Source organism: Homo sapiens, chromosome 6 (assembly GCF_000001405.40).
Source record: "Homo sapiens chromosome 6, GRCh38.p14 Primary Assembly".
Taxonomy (NCBI): Eukaryota; Metazoa; Chordata; class Mammalia; order Primates; family Hominidae; genus Homo; species Homo sapiens.
The window spans coordinates 76,578,383-76,600,409 of record NC_000006.12 but is presented as its reverse complement, the minus strand read 5'-3'; the positions used below and the strand labels follow the sequence as shown (position 1 = coordinate 76,600,409).

General features: G+C 34.3%; 1 long non-coding RNA gene across 1 annotated transcript in view; it reads left to right on the top strand.

The window, feature by feature from the left end:
- Positions 1-6,786: 6,786 nt before the first annotated feature.
- LINC02540 (long intergenic non-protein coding RNA 2540) overlaps positions 6,787-22,027 on the top strand; it is a 71,176-nt gene continuing 55,935 nt past the window's right edge. The window contains exons 1-2 of the long non-coding RNA NR_149101.1: positions 6,787-6,883; positions 13,844-13,962. This is a non-coding gene — a long non-coding RNA (long intergenic non-protein coding RNA 2540). The remainder of the gene's footprint in view (positions 6,884-13,843; positions 13,963-22,027) is intronic.

The following is a 22,027-nucleotide window of genomic DNA, read 5'->3' as shown; positions in this document are numbered from 1 at the left end:
CTGGTTTAGTCTTGGGAGGGTGTATATTTGCAGGAATTCATCCATTTCTTCTAGATTTTCTAGTTTATGTGCATAGAGGGTGTTTATAATATTCTCTGATGGTTGTTTGTATTTCTGTAGGGTCAGTGGTGATTTCCCCTTTATCCTTTTTTAGTATGTCTAATTGATTCTTCTCTCATTTCTTCTTTATTAGTCTAGCTAGCAGTCTATCTATTTTGTTATGTTTTTCAAAAAAACAGCTCCTGAATTCATTGATTTTTTTCAAGGATTATTCACGTCTCTATCTCCTTCAGTTCCATTCTGATCTTGGTTATTTCTTGTCTTCTGCTAGCTTTTGGGATTGTTTGCTCTTGGTTCATTAGTTCCTTTAGTTGTGATGTTAGGGTGTCGATTTGAGATCTTTCTACCTTTTTGATGTAGACAATTAATGCTATAAACTTTCCTAACTGCCTTAGCTAAGTCCCAGAGACTCTGGTACATTGTCCCTTTGTTCTCATTGGTTTCAAATAACTTACTTATTTCTGCCTTAATTTCATTATTTGCCCAGTAGTCATTCAGGAGCAGATTGTTCAATTTCCATGTAGTTGTGTAGTTTTGAGTGACTTTCTTAATCTTTAGTTCTAACTTGATTATGCTGTGGTCTGAGACATGGTTATGATTCCAGTTTCTTGCATTTGCTGTGGAGTGTTTTACTTCCCGTTTTGTGATCTATTTTAGAGTAAGTGCCATGTGGTGCCAAGATGAATGTATATTCTGTTGCTTTGGGGTGGAGAATTTTGTAGATATCTATCAGGTCCACTTCATCCAGAGCTGAGTTCAAGTCCTGAATATCCTTGTTGATTTTCTGCCTTGATGATATGTCTAATATTGACGGTGGAGTGTTAAAGTCCCCCACTATTATTGTGTGGGAGTCTAAGTATCCTTGTAAGGTCTAAGAACTTGTTTTATGAATCTGGGTGCTCCTGTATTGAGTATATATATATTTAGGACAGTTAGCTTTTCTTGCTGAATTGATCTCGTTACATTATTTAATGCCCTTGTTTGTCTTTTTTTATCTTTGTTGGTTTAAAGTCTGTTTTTCAGAAACTAGAATTGCAACCCCTGCTTTTTTCTGCTTTCCATTTGCTTGGTAAAGTTTCCTCCATCCCTTTATTTTGAGTCTATGTGTGTCTTTGCATGTGAGATGGGCCTTTTGAATACAGCACACCGATAGGTCTCTTAGTCATAAATTCTTTCTTAAGGCCAATGTCCAGAGTGGTGATTCCTAGGTTTTCTTCTAAGATTCTTACAGTTTGTAGTCTTACATTTATATCTTTAATGCATCTTGATTTAATTTTTGTATATGGTGAAAGTAAGTGTTCAGTTTCAATCTTCCGCATATTACCCCAGAACCATTTATCGAATAGAGAGTCCTTTCCCCCCTTGTTGCAATCTTTACTCTTCCTTGCACATTGTTTTACCCTTCCACTTAGATTATCTTTGGTTACATTCAGATATTACAAGTCTACTAAAAATGTCTTTATTTTTTCCTCAATTTTGTCATCTACTGAGCAAACCCACACAAAAATATTTCATCTGCAAAATATGCATTTTGGAATTTTTCAAATCAAACAGCAATTATTCTCAATTGAGCAAAGTTTATGTGATGAGTTATACATGTGTGCATGTGTGTATCAAGTAATATCAATTCTTATTCAGTTATTTTCATAAACCCATTTATTATTGTCTTATTCAGTTGTTTTTCATGCCCCAAATAACATGTAGTTGTTTTGGTGGCAATATTTGTATTCTGCATAAATGTTTCCCATAATATTCAAATTTTGCTACAGTTCCTGCCAAATGCAAAAGTTCTCATAATCATGCTCATAAAGTTTCTTGGCTAATCTTTGATGTTAGACATTGCATCACTAAAAACTGAATCATGCATTCAAATGCCACATGGCATTATTTTCCTCATTTACATATAGTTTCTTTACTGCACCATGGTAATTATAAATATTTAAAATCAGAATACAATTAGAAATATTTAATTTAACATATATTCCCCTTTCTTCATGTTTATCTGAAATACATGAAAAACCTGTCACTCTTGGGTCCATTTTGTTCTGTCAGCAAAGCGTTTAAAACATAGACAAAATGAAGAATCATTTGAAATAGGATGAAGTAAAAAGATTCTAATCATTTATTTTGCCATTTGAAATGTTTGTATAATATTCATTTCCAAAACTTCCTACCATCTGGAAAGTTAGAATTTCTTGCTTGAGATCAATAATTTTCAAAAAGAGAGTAATTTATTAGTCAAATTACATAATCATATGCTTAGATTTGCAAAATCTAGAGTCAGTTTTAATAATTCTTGAGATTTTTTTTCTGTTTTAGTTTTTGGTGAAATTTATCAGTCGTATTTTATGTTTCTAAGATATATATAACTGAAACTAAAACATTTTTTCTTTTTCCCTGGCACTCTATATTTTTCTCCCCAAATTTTTTGTTTGATGCAAATAATTTTTTTAATTTTTAATTTTTTTTCTAATATCTTTCCATGCTCTATGGTTGATCTTGATTATGGCACTTATTATTATTTTATTACCTTCTTTTTGGAACTCTTAAACTTTGTATCATTTAAGATATCATGTAGGCAAAGAAAGGAAAAATAGACACCAGGGCCTTCTTGAGGGTGGAGGTTAAGAAGAGGGAGAGGACAAAAAATAAATAAATAAATAAATAAAAACCCGATTGGTTACTAGGCTTAGTTTCTGGATGACAAACTAATCTGTACAACATATCCCCATGACACAAATTTACCTATGTAATAAAGGTACACATGTACCCCTAAACCTAAAATAAAAGTTAAAAAAAAAAACACGTAGAAATACATCACTAAATTTTAATAGAGTTAGTATTTGTACTAGTAAAAGTATCATTAAACCCAACAAGCTGCAATAATACAATTAGTGGGCCATTACATATTACTTACTAATTTATACCAATGAAATATCTACCTTGTGGATTACTAACAGTAAAAAACTATTAGTTATTTATAGTGATTCATGAGTGCTATTTACTATATTAACAATCACTAATAGAAAACTAATTTCTATAGTTTTGACTATGTTTTTTTAATAAAAACAATTATTTTTAAATTTTAATTTCTGTGTTTCAGTAGGTTTTTGGGGAAAAGGTGGTGTTTGGTTACATGGATAAGTTCCTTAGTGGTGATTTCTGAGATTTTAGGTCACTCATCACTCACACAGTGTATGCTATACTAATGTGTAGTCTTTTATCCCACGCCACTCACCACCCTTACCCTCAGGTCCCCTAATTCCAATGTATCATTCTTATGCCTTTGCATCCTCATAGCTTAGCTCTGACATAGAGTGAGAACATACAATGTTTGGTTTTCAATTCCAGAGTTATTTCTCTTAGAATCATAGTCTCCAAATTCATCCAGATTGTTGTGAGTGCCATTATTTTGTTCCTTTTTATGGCTGAGTATTATTCCATGGTTGGGGTGTGTGTGTGTGTGTGTGTGTGTGTGTGTGTAACATTTTCTTTATCCACTTGTTGATTGATGGGCATTTAGGATGGTTCCACGTTTTTGCAATTGCAAATTGTGCTGCTATAAACATGCATGTGCAAGTATCTTTTTTGTATAATGACTTCTTTTCTTCTGGGTAGATACCCAGGAGTAGGATTGCTAGATCAAACGGTAGATCTACTTTTTGTTCTTTAAGAAATCTCCACACTGTTTTCCACAGTGGTTGCACTAGTTTACATTCCCACCAGCAGTGTAAAAGCAGTTTATTCTTGTTTCTCTTGTTCCTTGAGATATGACTTTAGGTTGTCTATTTGAGCTCTTTTAGACTTTTTGATGCAGGCATTCAATGCTATGAACTTACCTTTTAGCACTGCTTTTGCTGTATCCCAAAGGTTTTGATAGATTCTGTCACTATAATCATTCAGTTCAAATAATTCTTTAATTTCCGTCTGATTTCATTGTTGACCCAACGATCATTCAGGAGCAGATTTTTTAATTTCCACGTATTTGCATGATTTTGAATATTCCTATTGGAGTTGATTTCCATTTTTATCCCACTGTGATCTGAGAGAATACCTGATATAATTTCAATTTTCTTAAATGTTTGGAGGCTTGTTTTGTGGCCCATCATATGGTCTATCTTGGAGAATGTTCCATGTGCTGATGAATAGAATGTATATTCTGCAGTTGGATAGAATGTATCTGCAAATATCTGCTAAGTCCATTTGTTCTAGGGTATTTGGGCCATTGTCTCTTTGTTGACTTTCTGTCTTCATGACCTGTCTAGTGCTTTCAGTGGAGTATTGAAGTCCTCTACTACTATTGTATTGCTGTCTATCTCATTTCTTAGGGCTAGGCGCAATTGTTTTATAAATTTGGGAGCTCCAGTGTTAGGTGCATATATATTTAGGATTGTAATATTTTCCTATTGGGCTAGTCCTTTCATTATTATTTAATGTCCCTCTTTGTCTTTCTAACTGTTGTTGCTTTAATGTCTGTTTTTTCTGATATAAGAATAGCTACTCCTACTTGCTTTTGGTGTCCATTTGCATGGAATGTTGTTTTCCACTTCTTTAAGTTTATATGAGTTACTATGTTTTAGGTGAATCTCTTGAAGACAGCAGATACTTGCTTGATAAATTCTTATTCATTCTGCCATCCTATATCTTTTAAGTGGAGGATTTAGGCCATTTACATTCAATATCGGTATTGAGAAGTGAGGTACTATTCTATTCATTGTGTTGGTTGATGCCTGAATACCTTGTTTTTCATTGTGTTTTTGTTTTATAGATATGAAATTTATGCTTTAAGGTGGTTCTTTTTGGTGTATTTTGAGAATTTGTTTAAAGATGTGGAGCCCCTTTAGCAGTTCTTGTAGTGCTGGCTTGGTAGTGGCAAATTCTCTCAGCATTTATTTGTCTGAAACATACTGTATCTTTCCTTCATTTATGAAGCTTAGTTTCACTGGATACAAAATCGTTGGATGATAATTGCTTTGTTAAAAGAGGCTAAAGATAGGACCCCAATCTCTTCTAACTTGTAGGGTTTCTACTGAGAAATCTGCTTTTAATCTGATAGGTTTTCCTTTATAGGTTACCTGATGCTTTTGCCTCACAGTTCTTAAGATTCAAAGCCAGCAATGACAGGTCTCACCCAGCTCACAGGCAGTAATCTAACCTGATTACTTTGAGTCTAGGTGATGATGTTTTTACAATGTGTTTCCTAGGTGTTCTTTGTGCTTCTTGTATTTGGATGTCTAGATCTCTAGCAAGGCCAGGGGAGTTTTCCTCAATTATTCCCTCAAATATGTTTTTCAAACTTTTAGATTTCTTTTCTTCCTTGGGAAGACCATTTCTTACGTTTCGTTGTTTAACATAATCCCAAACTTCTCAGAGGCTTTGTTCATTTTTTAAAATTACTTTTTCTTTGTCTTTTTCAAGTTGGGTTAATTCTAAAGCCTTGTCTTCAAGCTCCAAAGTCCTTTCTTCTACTTGTTGGATTCTATTGCTCAAACTTTCCAGTATATTTTGCATTTATCTAAGTGGGTCCTTCATTTCCAGAAGCTGTGATTGTTTTCTATTTATGCTATCTATTTGTCTGGAATTTTTTCCATCTATATTCTATATCACTTGTTTTCATTTATTTAAGTTGGTATTCACCTTTCTCTGGTGCCTCCTTGAGTAGCTTAATGATTGACTTTCCAAATTCTTTTTCTGGCAATTCAGAGATTTCTTCTTGGTTTGGATCCATTGCTTGTGAGCTAGTGTGATGTTTTGGGGGTGTTAAGGAAACTTGTTTTGTCATATTACCAGAACTGGTTTTCTGGTTCCTTCTCATTTGGGTAGACTATGTCAGAGGAAACATCTGGGGCTCAAGGACGGTTGCTCAGATTCTTTGGTCCCACAGAGTGCTCCCCTGATGTGGCGCTCTCCCCTTTCCCCTGTGGATGAGGTTTCCTGAGAGCCAAACTGCAGTGATTGTTACTTGTCTTCTGGGTCTAGCCACCCAGCAGAGCTACCAGGCTCTGGGCTAGTACTGAGGAGTGCCTGCAACGAGTCCTGTGATGCAATCTCTCTTCAGGTCTCTCAGCCATGCATACAAGCACCTGCTCTAGTGAAGGCAGCAGGGAAGTGCAGTTGACTCTGTGAGGGTCCTTGGTTGTGTTTTTGTTTAGTGCATTGGCTTTCTGTTGCTTGGTCTACAGCCCAGAGGTGGTGCTTTCAAGAGAGTATCAGCTGTGGTCATATAAGGTAGGATACAATTTTGTCCTAGGGTGGCCTGAATAAGTATTCAGGTTGCTCAGGCAGTGGGCGGGGCCATAGAGCTCCCAAGAGATCATGTCATTTGTCTTTGCCCACCAGGGCAGGCAAGGAAGACCATCAGGTGGGGGCAGGGTGTCTGAGCTCAGACTCCCCTTGGGCAGGGTTTGCTGCTGCTGTGGAGGACTGGGTGTGGTTCTCAGGCTGATGGAGGTATGTTCCCAGGGGGGATTATGACTGCCTCTGCTGCATCATACAAGTTGCCAGGGAAGTGAGGGAAAGCCAGCAATGACAGGTCTCACCCAGCTCGCAGGCAGCCCAAAAGGTCAGTCTCACTCCCACTATGTCTCCCCTCAACAGCACCGAGTTTGTTTCCAGGCAGCTGGTGAGCAGAGCTGACACCTTTCCTCAGGCTATAAGCCTCCCCACTGACAATGCAAGGAGGGCTTTCAGGTTTATGCCTCCCCACCTGCCGCGGTTTCCTCCCCAAGGACCCCTGCAAGAAAAAGTCAGGAATGGATTCCTGGAACAAAGAATGTCCACAGGGCTCTTGATGCTGCTGCCTCTACCCCTATATTTTATATAGGTAAGGTCAAATCCTTTCCTCGTGATCTGGACCTTCAGGTTCCCCGGTAAGGATGTGTGTTCAGGGATGGACATTCCCCCTCTCACACTTTGAGTACCCACAGTTTTTCAGCCATCTCACAGAGCCTGTTGCAGCAAGCCACTTCCTTCTAAGGGTCTGTGGATTATCGTAGCTTTCCTGGTATGTCCCTGCAGTTGTTCTTGCAGCAAAAGTTTATGATGTGAGTCTTCTAATGCTGCTCCGTCTGTCTGAGTGGGAGCTGCATGTTAGTCCTGCTTCCTATATGCCATTTTTCCTGACTGTCCATGTCAATACCATCTCCAAAGAGAGTTTTGGGCAAACATTTTCATTTTTCAGTATTTTAATACTTTATATTTTAAAATGCTACTTAAATTTAGTATTCTAAATATGCATAATTTTAGTAATTTGATAAATATTTATTCATCTAACAAATGTTTACTGGACACCTACTATGTGCCAGGGCACTATTCCAGGTGATACATTCTAGGTATTCTAGGTGATGACACTAAGGCCGTAAGTTTCAATATGATTTTACTTAATATAAAATAATATGGCTTATGAAAATCAGAACATCAAAATTAGATAATTTGAATTTCATCACTTTGGACTTTTTCTACTAATATTTATATTTCTGTAAAAATTACAAGTCCTGGAGAGCAAGATCATTGTCTGTCAACCTTTGAATATTTCACACCCTGTCTGGCATGATACCAGAAAACTAGGTGAATAGCTCACCCATCCTGTCTCCATTTGCTGGGCCTCTGGACTACTTCCAGATTCTTCCTCCTGTGAAATGTGTGACTATGAGCATTCTGGCACAGTTTCCTATTGTACATTTCCTATTGAATACATGCCTATAGATTCTTTTGTGTCATACAGTTTGTGATTATTAAACTTTAAAGGATAATACCAAACCATTTGCAAAATTTGTTGCACCATTTAAACCTCCCACCAACAAGGTATAAGACAGCTGGTGAACACACATCTCTTGATATTGCCAAGAATATCTCTTGATATTGCCAAGAATATCTCTTGATATTGCCTTTAACATTGCCAATAAAATAAGTGTAAAAATTAACATCGATACTGTCTTGTTTTGCATTTCCTTGATCACTAAGGATATTGAACACCTCTTCATATATTTATTGGCTGCATGTATTTCCTCTTCAGTAAAATGTTTTTGCATATATTTTGCTTATTTTTTTATTGAGTTGTTTGTGCTTTGTTTATTGGTTGGTAGAAGTTCTTTGCTATTCTTGATACTAATATGTTGCTGGTCATATGTAACAAGAATATCCTCTTCTAATTTATATAATCTTGTCACTTATAAAAATTATGTCCTGACGAACAAATATTCTTACTTTTAACGTTGTAATATTTATCAATATTTTCTTTATGTGTTTTTTTTGGATTTTAAGAAAATATTTCCTACCCCAAGATTTTAAAAATATCTACCTTTATTTTTAATCATTGTTTTTGAAATTTAAGTATTTAATCCATCTAGAATTTACTTTTGTGTGTGGTTTGAGGTAGGAGTTCAATGTAACCTTTTAAAATATAGACAGCCAATTTTCTAGTCCATGTATTGATCAGTTCTACTTTCACCTATGATCTAGAATGTTACTTCTGTCATATATCAATATTCATAAAGGCATAGGTGTATTCCACTTACCTAATTCTACTGCATTGGTTACAAATTTTTTTTAATTTATGGATTAGTACCACAGTATTTTAATCAAAAATTTTATAAATCCTGAAACTTGGTAGGATAATTTCTTGCTCCTTGTAGTTATTTAGAAATATCCTGGCTCTTCTAGTCTGTTTACTTATTCTACCACAGAAATTTTAGAATCATCTAATAAAGTTTCTTGTAAGGCCCTGTAATTAGATTTGCGTTAATTTTTCTCACAACCTTTAATTGGGATTTTATTGAGTCTATAGATCAATTGGGAAAATTGATAACTTTATAGCATGAATCCTTCTTATTTATAACCATGACATAAATTCTTACTTATTTAGGCATCCTTACTATCAAACAACAGAATTTTATACTTTTCGGTCAGCTTTACTTATAGATACTTGATATTATTTATTAATACTATAAATAATGTCACAGACAAAACATGTTTCTTATTGTTTGCTTTTGGTATTTAGAAATTCAACAGGCTTTGTATTAGGTTGAACCATAACATATACCATTTTTATATGTCTAAAGGATCACATAATAGCAAATTTAATATGATTTTCTCTAATACATGAATCTTATAGTTACTTGGATAAATATCCTTATCATGTCTAATAATTTGTTCTAGTTTTTTAAGATATTCTATATAACTGAATATGGCATGTATAGCAATATAGTATTCTTCCTCAACCATCTATTGTAAAAATTTGTCATGTTTTCCTAGAACTTCCACTATAAAATAGAATGGAAGTGGTGATTATGTGACTTTTTTGCGTATTTCCATATTTCCAACTCTTTTGTTTTTTCCCAATTAGTATAAAAAGTGTAACTTAAAAAATAGAATCAATTTTTCAGGAAAACAAAGTTATCGTCTAACACTAATTTTCTAATAAGGATTTTTGTGAATTATGGTTAATTTTTTAATCAAATGTTTTTTCTGCATCAACTGAGTCGATCATATGATTTTTCTTTTTTATATGTTAACATGAATTACATTTATGTATTTTGTAAAACAAAACTGTTCCTTTACACGTAAAATATACCTAACATAATTGGAGTGTATCTTTTTTTCATACACATTGAATAATGTTAATATTTTCTTTGTGGATTTTGTTATATATGTATGATTAAAATGTATATGTAATTTTTTTCTCCTAATAATTTTGATTTTGGTAAATGAATTGGAGAATGGGGCAAATAACTTTTCTGTTTTTCTGTTGTTTAGAAAATTTGATAAAAAATTGGGATGAAGTGCTGATTGAACAAGTATAGTTCAGATGCCTGGGAGCAGTTAAGAATAAAGAAAAATGATGGGAAGCTTCCTGTGGCTGTCAAAGCTCTGCAAGATTAAAAGGAGGTGCAGAAATGGAAGCTGCTCTCTTAGGAGCAAGAGAAGTGGAGGGTTCTTCTAATGTCCCTGCTTTCAGTGTGCTCCTGAGGGCTAGTTTCTGTTTCATTTTACCTGGAGCACTGGTGGAACTTTCACAGTTTGGCAGGGGTTTGGGGGTGGGGGCGGTAGTGGCAGCTAATAGCAAAGAAAAAGGGGCAGAGTACCTGATATGCCTAGCATGGCTCAGAAAGATTGGGAGAGGCACAGAACACAAGCCTTCTCCACAAGAAAGGAAGGGAGAGGAGTGGAACATGCCTCCAATGTCTTGGCTCGTGGTACATATAACTCCAGAGATAATACATCCATAGAGAAGGTTTGAGAGGATCCCAGAATCTCTAGATGGGCAGACTGAGGAAAATATTTTCTTGCCAAAGTCAATCTGTAAAGATTGGGAGAGGTGGCTGTTTCTTTACATGACCAGACACCAATGCAAACTACAATAAACGTGAAGAATCAGGAAAACAACAGAATTAAAAGAACAAATAATAAAACTAAATATTTAATAACTGACCCTAAAGAAATGCCAATTTATGAATTGTCTGACAAATAACTCAAAATAATCACCTTAAAGAAGCTTAGTGAGTTACAAAGAATACAGAGAGAGAACTAAACAAAATCAGGAAAATAATACAAGATCTCATGTTAAACATTCTTACCACAAAAAAAAAGAAAGAAAATTGGTATGGTTTCTTTCTTATTTGATATAGCTTGTAAAATCATCATGGCCTGGTATTTTATTTGAGGAATAATATTTTTAACAAGTGCTTCCATTGCTTTGACAGACATAGAACTATTGATGTTTTTATTTCATCATGAGTCAATTCTCATAATTGCAGTTTTCTAGACATTAATATATTTTTAAAATTTTCAAAATTATTGCTATATTTTTATAGTGTTTGTCTTATCATTGTAATCGCTATTGTGTGTATGCCTTCCTTTTATTCACAATACTTATCTGTATCTTCTTTAATTCCTGTTTTAATCAATCACAACACAGGTTTGTCTTTTCTATTAGTGTTTTTATGAAACATCAACTTTGTTTGCTTTGTTGTACATCTCTTTTGCATCCTTTATTTCTTTTTTACTGATTTTCACTCTTTTTTTCATTTTCCTCTTTAATTCTTAGACTTTTTCTATGTATTCTCCGTGATTTTTACTGTCTCTGTTAAATAAGACTGAAGATATATTGCTTACATGAAAAAAGACTTCTGTGGTCTTCCACCTGTCTTTGGAATCATGGAGAATTTCCCAGTTTCTAGTCCATAAGTCCATTGAATAGTAGCGTATATTAATCTTAGTCTTTGATTTTTCCTTATAATTTTTTGTGTATTTCTTCTTGTTATTATGCAAATTAATTTGTGCTAGTAAAGTGTTTGAAACTGTAAAAGTATTAAATGAATATTTGTTAAATGAGTGAATAAGATATAGTTAAGTCATATGCATATTAATTAATCCACTGTCAATAAAAAGCAATTAGTTTTTTCATAGGAGAAACTTGTATTTCCCTAATCTACTCAGTATGTTTGCATGTTAGCTCTTTATTGGTTAGCATCTACTTCTCTTCCAAATTGCATTCAAGCTTGTTTACCAGAACTAGAGCAAATGCTGTTTATTTAACCTGTAAACTCAAAATATATATTCTTGAACTCCAAATTGCACAGGAGAATTTTAAAAAGAAACAGAAACTAAATTAAAGCTGTGCATATGAAGCTAAAATGGTAATATGAATACAAATTCTGGTTTTAATTAGTGATACTGTTGTGGGTGAATAGTATTTTTTTAAGTCATTGGTAATGTAGAGGATGAGACTAACAGGTATCTCTTTCAGTTAACTTTTTAGCTTAATAAGGTACCCCTTTACTAAATTATGTAGACTACTACAGACATTTTCCATGCAAAGGGAAGTAAACCATTTAGCTATTTAACCAGAAACTTATTTTTCTAGTTTACTTGTAGATAATGTTTTCTAAAAGAAAAATAAAATTTTACTATCAGGTAGCATGGGAGACTCATATTTTACTCTACCTTTTTGTTGTTGTTGTTGGTCATTATCAACCAAGCTAGCTATGCAAGGTAGTTCCACAGTGGCACTAACAGAATCCATAAAACCAGCATCAGCTTTCCAGCCATATTTCATACACAGTATTTATTTAATTTCAAAATAAATATATAATTTCATAAGTGCAATATTGGATACATAAACCTATTTGAGACCAGGAATCTCAAATAATGTGGATGGACTTAAGGTAGGCAAAGCAGAATATCAGTCCTTCCCAAAATGTTAAAACTAGATGCTAACAACCTAACTGGTTCCCAGGCCTTAGGGTAACACTTTTGGAAAATTATTTTGGACACCAGACAAATCGATATAAGAGTCCTATTAAGAGCAGCTGGAAAGAATAACAGTTATCATTGCAGCTACAGGATAGCCGATTACTTGCTCACAGCTGATTAGAATGACATTTCTATGTGATTGTTTTAGGGCCTCTCTTTTATTTCATTTTCCCAAAATTGGCAAATTGTAAGATTACTGAGTTAGAAAAAGTCACTGATGAGTAGGGGACAGAGAATGTTCACAAGCAAAAATAGGCATATCATTAATTGATAGTGAATTTAGTGACAACAATCATATCTATTTTTTTACTACTTTCAGACATAACATTCATTACTATACAATGAGTAATAGGGTCAAGTCCTTTACAGAGAATATCCCATTTAATGCTCAAAAACCCTTTGAGATAATATACAATTAGCTCTTGCTATTCAAAAATTTCACTATTCATTCACTAAAATGACTTGAAAATTTTTTTGACCAAAACTTCACTATCAAAGTCCAAAGGTCCCTAAGCAAAATTGCATGTGCATATTGGCAAAGACATCTAAATTGGGCATTCCTCCTTGTAAGAAAACATCGATCATATTGCGGTTTTATCTCTGCTGTTCTCCTGATAAGATTATGATGTATATTAAAGTTGTTTAAACTTTTTACATATTATTACTATTATGTTCTCCACACTTTACTTTGAAGTTTATACTATAACAGATTCCTGTTTGCTATGTCAGATGCCTGAGGGCACTATTAACAAGTTTCAATTTAGTTAGACACTTTTCTATATTTATCATATTATTTTATTTTTTATTTGCATTGGAGTACTTGCCCTTTGCAGTGTGAAAGGAACTCACAATAATATTGTATACTGCACACAAACATACCAGTAAAGTAACTTCACTTTATTACTTGTTAAATAATTAGGTATGCTATATTCTGACTGTTTTATGCTATCCAGAAATCATTTGTGGATTATGACTTTGATATTTTTAAATGTTTTAATAACACTTGGTTGGCATTTTGGGATGTGCTTAGAACTTATTATGTTTTTTTCCATTAAAAATAATGAAATATAGGCTCCTGCTATCTGGAAATTTGCTATCACTCTTTTTAGGAATGAAAAAGTTTTGGCTAATAAGAGATGTCTATACTTTCATTATCAAAAATATACAGATGAAGAAGCAGATCTCCATGTTAGCTCATTATTGATTTAAAAAACATTTATTATGCACATTCTATGTGTCAGACACCGACAATAAAGTAGTGAATAAATAAAGGTATCTACCCTCATTTAACTATCATTCTAGAGAATTCTGGAAAATTAAAAAAAAAACAACAACTGGCAAAAATGAGTAAATTAGACTGGAGATTAAGAAATGATTAGTACTATGGAGAAAAATAAAGCAGAGAATGGAGATGGGGGTGAATGGGTCAAAACAGAGGTAAGGGTTTTATTATCACAAGAGTTTTTATGGTTAAATAACTCTGAGCAAGTGATATATCAAAAGTCGATTATTTTTCTCTGATTCTTGCCAGTTCTGGAAGTACTCACTGCAGAGACAAATGGAAATGAGTCCACTCTAGGAAGAAGAATAACTGGAAGCTTGAGCTGTGTAAATGTGACTTGGAAATGTGACTTCAGGAGAAAGAACCAGGTTTGACACTGTGGGCTAATCTTAAACAGGGACAGTAATTGGAGCAGAATGGCCACAAATGAGCCGAATAAATCAGCCATTGACAAATAGGGACACATATAAGTATTTAGTAAGTAATATGATAAACCCACACCAGCATCGACTGGATAGTTCCTGAATTAGGCTGCTACATTTGAGAGCTATAACATGCTAAAAGAATAAATCTCCTAAATTAAGAAGGCACTATTAATTTTAACAATTATTACTATTATTTCTCCAATGACAAGTATTTCTCTTCACCTTTTGCCATTTGACACAGGCTTTCAACATTATTTAAAATAAAATGATAATGTATAGTCACATTACAGCTCTTGCAGAAGCTTCCTATAACAGCAGTTCCTATAGGGAATCTTCCAGTGACAGCTAGAGACCATGTCTTGACTTTTGAACTGAACTGGTGGTTTTCTTTAACTCCTTTTGGCATGGTTGGCATACCTTGCCAATTAGGATCAGAGCTACAGGTGGAAAGGCCATGTGACAATAATCACTATATGAAGGTTAAATTAAAAATATCCTCCCTGTATATTATAGACCTTGCCTTCTAAATTTGTGTTAGGTTTTTCTCTTCTCAATTTAATTTAGAATTGACAAATTCTGTTGAGCTCTTCTAACCAATTTTGTCTATCTTTTTCCTCATTTCTCCTTTCTTGAAAGTTTGTGCATACTTTGTCTTATTGAAAACACTTAGATCTAACAAGGAATCATACTTATAGAGGTATGTGGGTAGAAAAACATTATAGGACATGTTGAATCACTGAAAAACCAGCTCCTGCTATTTATTTCCACATCATTATATTGTTTTCTTCTCTATATCTGACCCACTTTCAGCGATAACAGATTAATTTACCATATTGACCTTGAAATATTAAATGTAGTCAGCCACCTGAAGATAAGCTTGTATTATAATCAGAGAATAAGTGATGTTTATTAATAATTACTGTAGAAGAAAAAGTGTGAATTAGTAGACTCAGTGTTAGCAGTCATAAATCCAAATTCCAACTCCTACTTTCTAGCTGTGAGACAAAGTCTAAGTCACTTAACATCTAGCCTACTCTCCTTCTCAGTAAAAATGTGTATACACCATCTTCTACTGCCTTGGCTTACAAGGTTATTATAAAGCTTCAATAAAAAGGTAGTTGCAACATGGTATTATGAAATACCAATTTTTGTAGGACAAAAATGGTCAAATATTGGGAATTTCATAGGGTTCAATCTAAAAACACTCAATTAGTACCTTTATTTTTAGAAAAGCTTTATAGAGCTTTTTTGAAACATAAAATAACCTTTAATGAGTAAGATTCAATAGTTAAAGAGCAATTAGCAGCATGTACAAATATAAAATGAGGCCAAATTTGGTCACTGACAGGAAATGCATATTTGGGCTAATGTCACACATTTCTGAAGTCAAGTATATCAGCTACTGGATAATGCTGAATAATAAGTTAGGGCAAATTAATAAATGATTATAACTAAAATTATAAATAAAATATAGTTTTATGAATAAATGTAGTGACAGGTAGTAAAATAGTCATGAATGTAAGTCAGCACTAAATAACACTATTAGCTTTTTGAATGGTATTAGTAATGGTGACATTGCAACTTTTCACTACATTTTCTTTTATGTTCAAAGGATGCACATCTCCCCTTTTATGTCCTAGACAGATTCTAAGACTATCTTTTCCTTGGTCATCCAGAAAAGGTTTATTCTGCCAGTGATAGTCACAGGATCTTAACAGATTTAATCAGATAATAATAAGCCAGGAACACTGTGATTTCTAATTTCAATTTAAACTTGAATTTGATAAAATACACTGTTTCGGTTACCTATGGCTACGTAACAAATTACCCCAAAATTTAATGGTTTACAAGCACAATTTGTTATTATCTCTCAGGATTCTACAGGTTGATTAGGTTAACCTGGGTGTTCTCTTTGGGGGGTCTCTCAAGCAGTTTTATCCTATAGAGGCTGGGACTGAAGTCATCAGAAGCCTCAATTGGGATGGTCATCCAAGATAACTTCTTCACTCACACACCTACACTTCCACGTAGCCTCTCTCTCCAGCCTGGAATTTTTACATGACAGCTCAGAGCTCCGAGATAGGAGGCAGAAACTGCTAGTCCTCTTAACAGGAGGTCTGGAACTGGAGCAGCTTTACTTCTGCTGTATTCTCTTGATCAAAACAGGCAAAAGTCAGTCCTGGTTCAAGGGGGTGGAGAAACATATTCCACCCCTCATGGGAGGGGAAGTTATGGATAGTAACCATCTTTGGAAACAAGGTGCCACAAAAATATTAGCAAATAAGAGCTGAAAACTTATACATCAGGGTCCAGAAAACAAAAACTGCCATATTGTCATCTTTTACATCTCTTATTCAGTCCTAACTCTGCTACTTATTGGTTGAGAAATTTTGAGCAATTTACTTAATCTCTCTAGCCTTAGTTTTCTCACCCATAAAATGGAGCTGATTATCACTAACATATATGCTTGTGAGAATTCAAAGCATAATGTCCTCAAAGTTTAAGTCTCAAATACAATGGGACTTATAAAATTAGATAGTTTCTTTTTTTTATGTACAGGCCTGTTTTGACCTCTTCACCTTTATGTGTTTCTGATTGCTTTTTACTCTTTCTTATTGGCATGAATGGGACTTCAGTTGTATTTTGGATTTAAATTACATTATATCTATAAAAATAATCCATAAAAAGTACCTATTTTAGAGAAACAGGAAAATTGTTCCCATGATGCATTATTCATTCATTCACTCACTCATTTCAAAATATTATGCTTAGAAGAGTTGTCAGAATATATGCTATGCCCAAGGATAGTACAACTGACTATGACATCTTCTCATGTAATGTTCACATACTAGCTAGGAAAAATAGTACTATGAACTGATTAGTTGGCTAAGGTGTTACAAATGCTGTACCAAAAACAAACAAACAAAAAAACATGAATAAGGCAATGGAAAATGTTAAGGAATTAAACCTAGATTCAGAAAAAGAGGCAGCATATAAAAAAAATAGGATAATTTTAGAAAATTCTATTAAATCTATTTCTCAGAGTAAAATGGGATAAGACAAAAGGAAAATATGTCATCAAGTCCTCAATAAATTAGGAAATATGCAAAATGGGCTAGAGGTAAGATTTTCTGATCAATAGCAGTTATTTTCCTGTTGTCAGCTCCTACCACTCTCAAACTCCTAACCCAACCTGAGGTAGCAGTGCCCCAAATTCCACCCCATGCCCAAGTCACATTTAATGGATAAGACAATGTTCAGCATCTTCAGTTCTACTCATTAAAATTAGCTGATTTCGCAAGAAGCGGATGCTACCCTTGGGGAAGAGAACTGGGAGCCTCTGTAGGAATCCATTGCGGGATAGTTTCTTTTTTAAAAAATGCAGGCCTATTTTGATCTCTTTGCCTCTATGTATTTCTGGTTGTTTTTCACTCTTATCGTCATGGGGTACTGAAAGTACTGCTCATTCTATTCCTCCCTGTAAGTTCAATTCACAAATGATTACGACTGTGTTTTGGGAAAACTTAGCCTCTCAGTTCCTTTGTTCAGAGCTGTGATAAGGAACAAGATAGATATTGATAAAGACAGGAAAGAAATCACAGATCCCTGTATCCTCTGCTTTGCTACTGTCAGTGATTTTTCATCAGCATCATTTAAACGTGTAAGTTTCTTCCCTATTTTAATATTTTAAATAGTTCATCCTACTCCAGGCTTCTCATCCACATTCACAGCCAAAATTGTTGAAATCATTCCTAATCCTCACTTCCTCACTTGTCATTCACTATTCCACCCTTAGAATTCCCATGATGTTGTTCATTCCCACAATGTCACTGAAGCTGCTTCTTGAAAAGAAAGGTTGCCAATCACTATATGTTCTAAACACAAAATATATTTTAGCTCTTCTCCTACTTAGCCTCTCAGCAGAATTGTACATCAATATTTGTTCAACATCAATACTCTTCAGTTTCCATTAAACCACTCTCTGCCTCAGTTTTCATTCTTCCTCTGTGGCCCTTCTATTTCATTCTCCTCCTCTGCCTTTCCAGTGCTCATTCTAAGTGTCAGTGTTCCTGGGGTTCTGGGCCAGGTTATCATTTTTATTCACCTTCCCTAGACTTCTTTGCTGATTTCATTCACTTACATGGTTTCAATCGACCTCTATATCACATTGACTCCAAAACTTATGGCACTAGCTAATATATCATTTTGCTTTAGTGCCAGTAGATTGATCCATCTTTTAAGCATTTTTACTTAAAATATAGTACCACGAATTCATCATAAAATTAAATTACTCATTTTATGTTTCTCTTGTTGTATATTCTCTCTTACCTGTATTACCCACTACCTTACATCCGTTTATCTAACTCTTAATAAAATCCTACAAAATCCTACAAAAATCTAACACATTACTTATATTTGACCATCTCCTTTAAAACAGTGTACTCCAAACATTTTATTTCAAAACATTATTATATGTGTATACATTTATATGTTATAAAAATATGCAAAACTAAAAACATGGTTGAAATAAAATAAAAATAAATAGAAGTTCTAATGTTTCTTTTGTTGTCTGGCCCATTAGCCGCTCTTACGTATCCCAGGAATATATACCCCATACTTCGGATACCACGGGTCTAGGTATCATCATGCTACACTGCCTAGAATGTTGCAGTAGTGTTCTATCTTCATTTATGGCACTATAGACAGAAGAGTCATTCTCAAAAGAAAACATGACTCCTGTGTAAAATCCTTCAGTAGCTTATCACTGCCTCAGGGGAAAAAAAACCCTAATTCAGCAACGAGACCCCTTTTGGTCTATTATCTCCCCTAGCCTATATCTGGGCTTCTTCCCTGCACCCTGACTGCAATAAACCTTACAAAGCTTACTCCCTCCTCTTAAAACCCACTTCTGACTTCACTGATTTCACTCTTATACACTGTTTAATGTTTAGCTCAGAATTCATACCCAAAAAACCTACCGAGACAGGGATAGGTGGCCTTACTCTGTGCTTCCAAGCCATCCTAGGGTTTCCTTTTGTCAAATCATAACTCATTTACTTGAAAATATAATCATCTGTTTCAGCCTGACTCTGGTACCATTCAAGACCATAGATTATTTGCTTCTGTATTTCATGCTCATGAAATGTCTTACAAGTTAGTGAATATTGTCTATGAGCTTTAAGTTTAAATTTAACTATTATATTTTCTTTCTTCTTGAATGTAGAGGTGCACGTAGCAGAAATGTTAAGAGCTTAGGCTTTGGAGTCAGCCAGACTAGGCTGAAATCCTTTTTCATTTCTTATTTGTGTAATATTGAGCAAGTTACATTCAATCTCTGAACCTCAGTTTGTGCATCTGTCAAATGGAGTAAAAAACATTACCTGATATGATTACTGTAGGGATAATGCATGTAATATATCTAGCATATTTGAAGATACATTGTAGAAATTCAACAAATTGAGCATTTATTCATTTATTATTTTCAAGGGTTCCCAGAAATGGTGATTTCAAGTGCATCTTAGGGTAGAACAGTTTAGGTATTAATTTATTCATTCAATAAATAATTGTTGTCCTCTATATGCAAGGTGCTTTGCAAGTGTTTTAAGCATTTGTTTTAGGTAGTCATGCTATTGGCATTTTATAACTTGTTTCCATATTTTATTAATAAGCTTTTTTTTGAAACAGGGTCTTGGTCTATTACCTAGCCCAGAGTGCAGTGGTATAATCATAGCTCACTGTAGCCTTGACCTTCTAGGTTCAAGTGATCCTCCCATAGCTGGGACTACAGGCATGTACCACCACTCCTGGCTAATTTTCTTTATTTTTTATAGAGATTAAGCCTCAATACATTACCCTGACTGGTCTTCAAGAGAGCCTCCCACCTTGGCCTCTCAAAGCTCTGAGATTACAGGTTGCACTGCCGCACCCAGGGCTATTAACAAATGTTCATCATCTCATTTCATTTTAATTTCATATTTTTAAATGTTTTGTTTCTGCTTCTCTTAATCAAACATATACCTTTCAATTTTAATACATTTTTTCTTCTAATAGATCTCTCCCTCTATATCTAGTGTCATGTTTTTTTATATCAATTTTCTACATCATGTTTTATTTAGAAGACTGCATCCAATCACCCATAAAGTACCTCCTATAAAATTTCAGGTCCTTTAATAAAGGTCATGGGGTTCTATAGGCTATTATATTCATATATTTTTCATTTGACTTTTTTTGTTCTCTCTCACTTAGAGGGACACAGAAGCTAATTTGGCCCTATAGTTAGTTTGAAACTTCATGTGTACATTATCTACACTAATGTCCAACCAATGATAATTACCATGAAAATAAAAGAGCTATTAAGCCTAAAAAATCAGTAGTTAATCTGGCCTGACATTCTGTATCTATCAGTGAGTACTGTTTAAAGCTTAGGGGGAGAAGGAGAACACATTATATTTCTAACTGTGCAAAACCGTTCCAAGAAAAATGGTTTTCTTCTGTTAAATAATCATCAGTTTAAGGCCAAAATATAAGGATTGAGGAATCCAATGCTTGGGAAATATTCTGCATAGTAAAAGGGCAAAAGCTATACTCATGCTTCGGTATCCTCCTATAGTCAACATTTTCCACGGTAAATTCAGTCCCATGTCATAGACTGCTGACAGTACTTTTTAAAAATAAATAAGCAATTCTTTTTATTTTTTCTCTTTAAGTCTTAACTTTAGTTGAAGATAACGTTAGAAATAACCTAGATAAAATAACTTTTATCTAGGACAGCCTAGATAAAAAGGTAGTGTCCAAGAAAAGAGAAGCTGAGCAGCAACAAGGAAAATAATCGGAACAAGTTGATATTGACACTGACAGGAAAAGGTAACAAAAATTGTGCTACAGGGTATGCACATGTGAGTTTCCCCTCTTGTCTGTAAAAAAAAGCTGTGCATTGAGCATCTAAAGTTCTGTGAGTCTAATATGAAGTTTCAGTCAAGCAAGATAATAAAAGGCAAACATGGACTGGTTTCATAGGGTGATAAATTTAGATATGTAAATGATGGTGAGTGTTTAATAAAAATTATCCAACTGAGAAATTTCGAATGATTAGAATTGAGATGGGAAGTCATCTGTTGCATAAACTTGTGGTGACTAGCCTCCAAGATGTCCCTGAATGATTCTTGCCTACTCATATTCACACTGTGTGGTTCTCTCCTACATAGAATAAGGCTGACCTGGATAACTAATAGTTTGACTTTTGAAGGCTAGGTAATAGAAGACGTTGCACTTTCTCTCTTACTCTCTTTTGGTTCATTTACTTTGAAGGAAATGAGCTGCTGTATGATGAGTAACTCAAACAGCCCTCTGAAGAGAAACACATATAAAGGAACTGAAGCCTCCTGTCAATAACCAGCACTAATTTGCCAGGAACATGAGTAAGCTAATTGTAGGTGAATCCTGCAGCTTCAGTCAAGCCTTTGCTAACATCTTGCCTGGAACTCATGAGAGATTACCAGCTGAAATTACCAGAACACCCAGCTAAGCTGTTCCCAAATTCCTGATCCATGGAAATTCTGTGAGATACCCATTTATTGTTGTTTTAACTTGATCATTTTAGGGAAAATTTGTTATGCAGCAACAAATAAGTATACATCATTGGAGGGGGAAAATATCTAGAATAGTTTGTAACAAAGGGTAAAGTTAAGTCCATGAAAATGGGGAGTAAGGTAAGATGTAGAGGAGAAAACCCACATAATATTAAGAAAAGGCACAAACTCCTCTGAGCTTTTTACCTGCTCATAGAATAAAAAACAGGAAGCAAGTCAAAGTAAATATGAAATAAAAAAGAATGAATTAGGTCGCAATAAATAGAAAAGCCAGGAGATAAAGAACAAAACAAAAGTTCATTTTGACAAAAATGGTCACAAAATCCAGAATGGCATCTTTTGAAAAGAGAGTAAAATCAGGTCCATTTAAAACAAAATCACTAGTGACTTGTAACACAAAGCATCTAATTCTCCATATT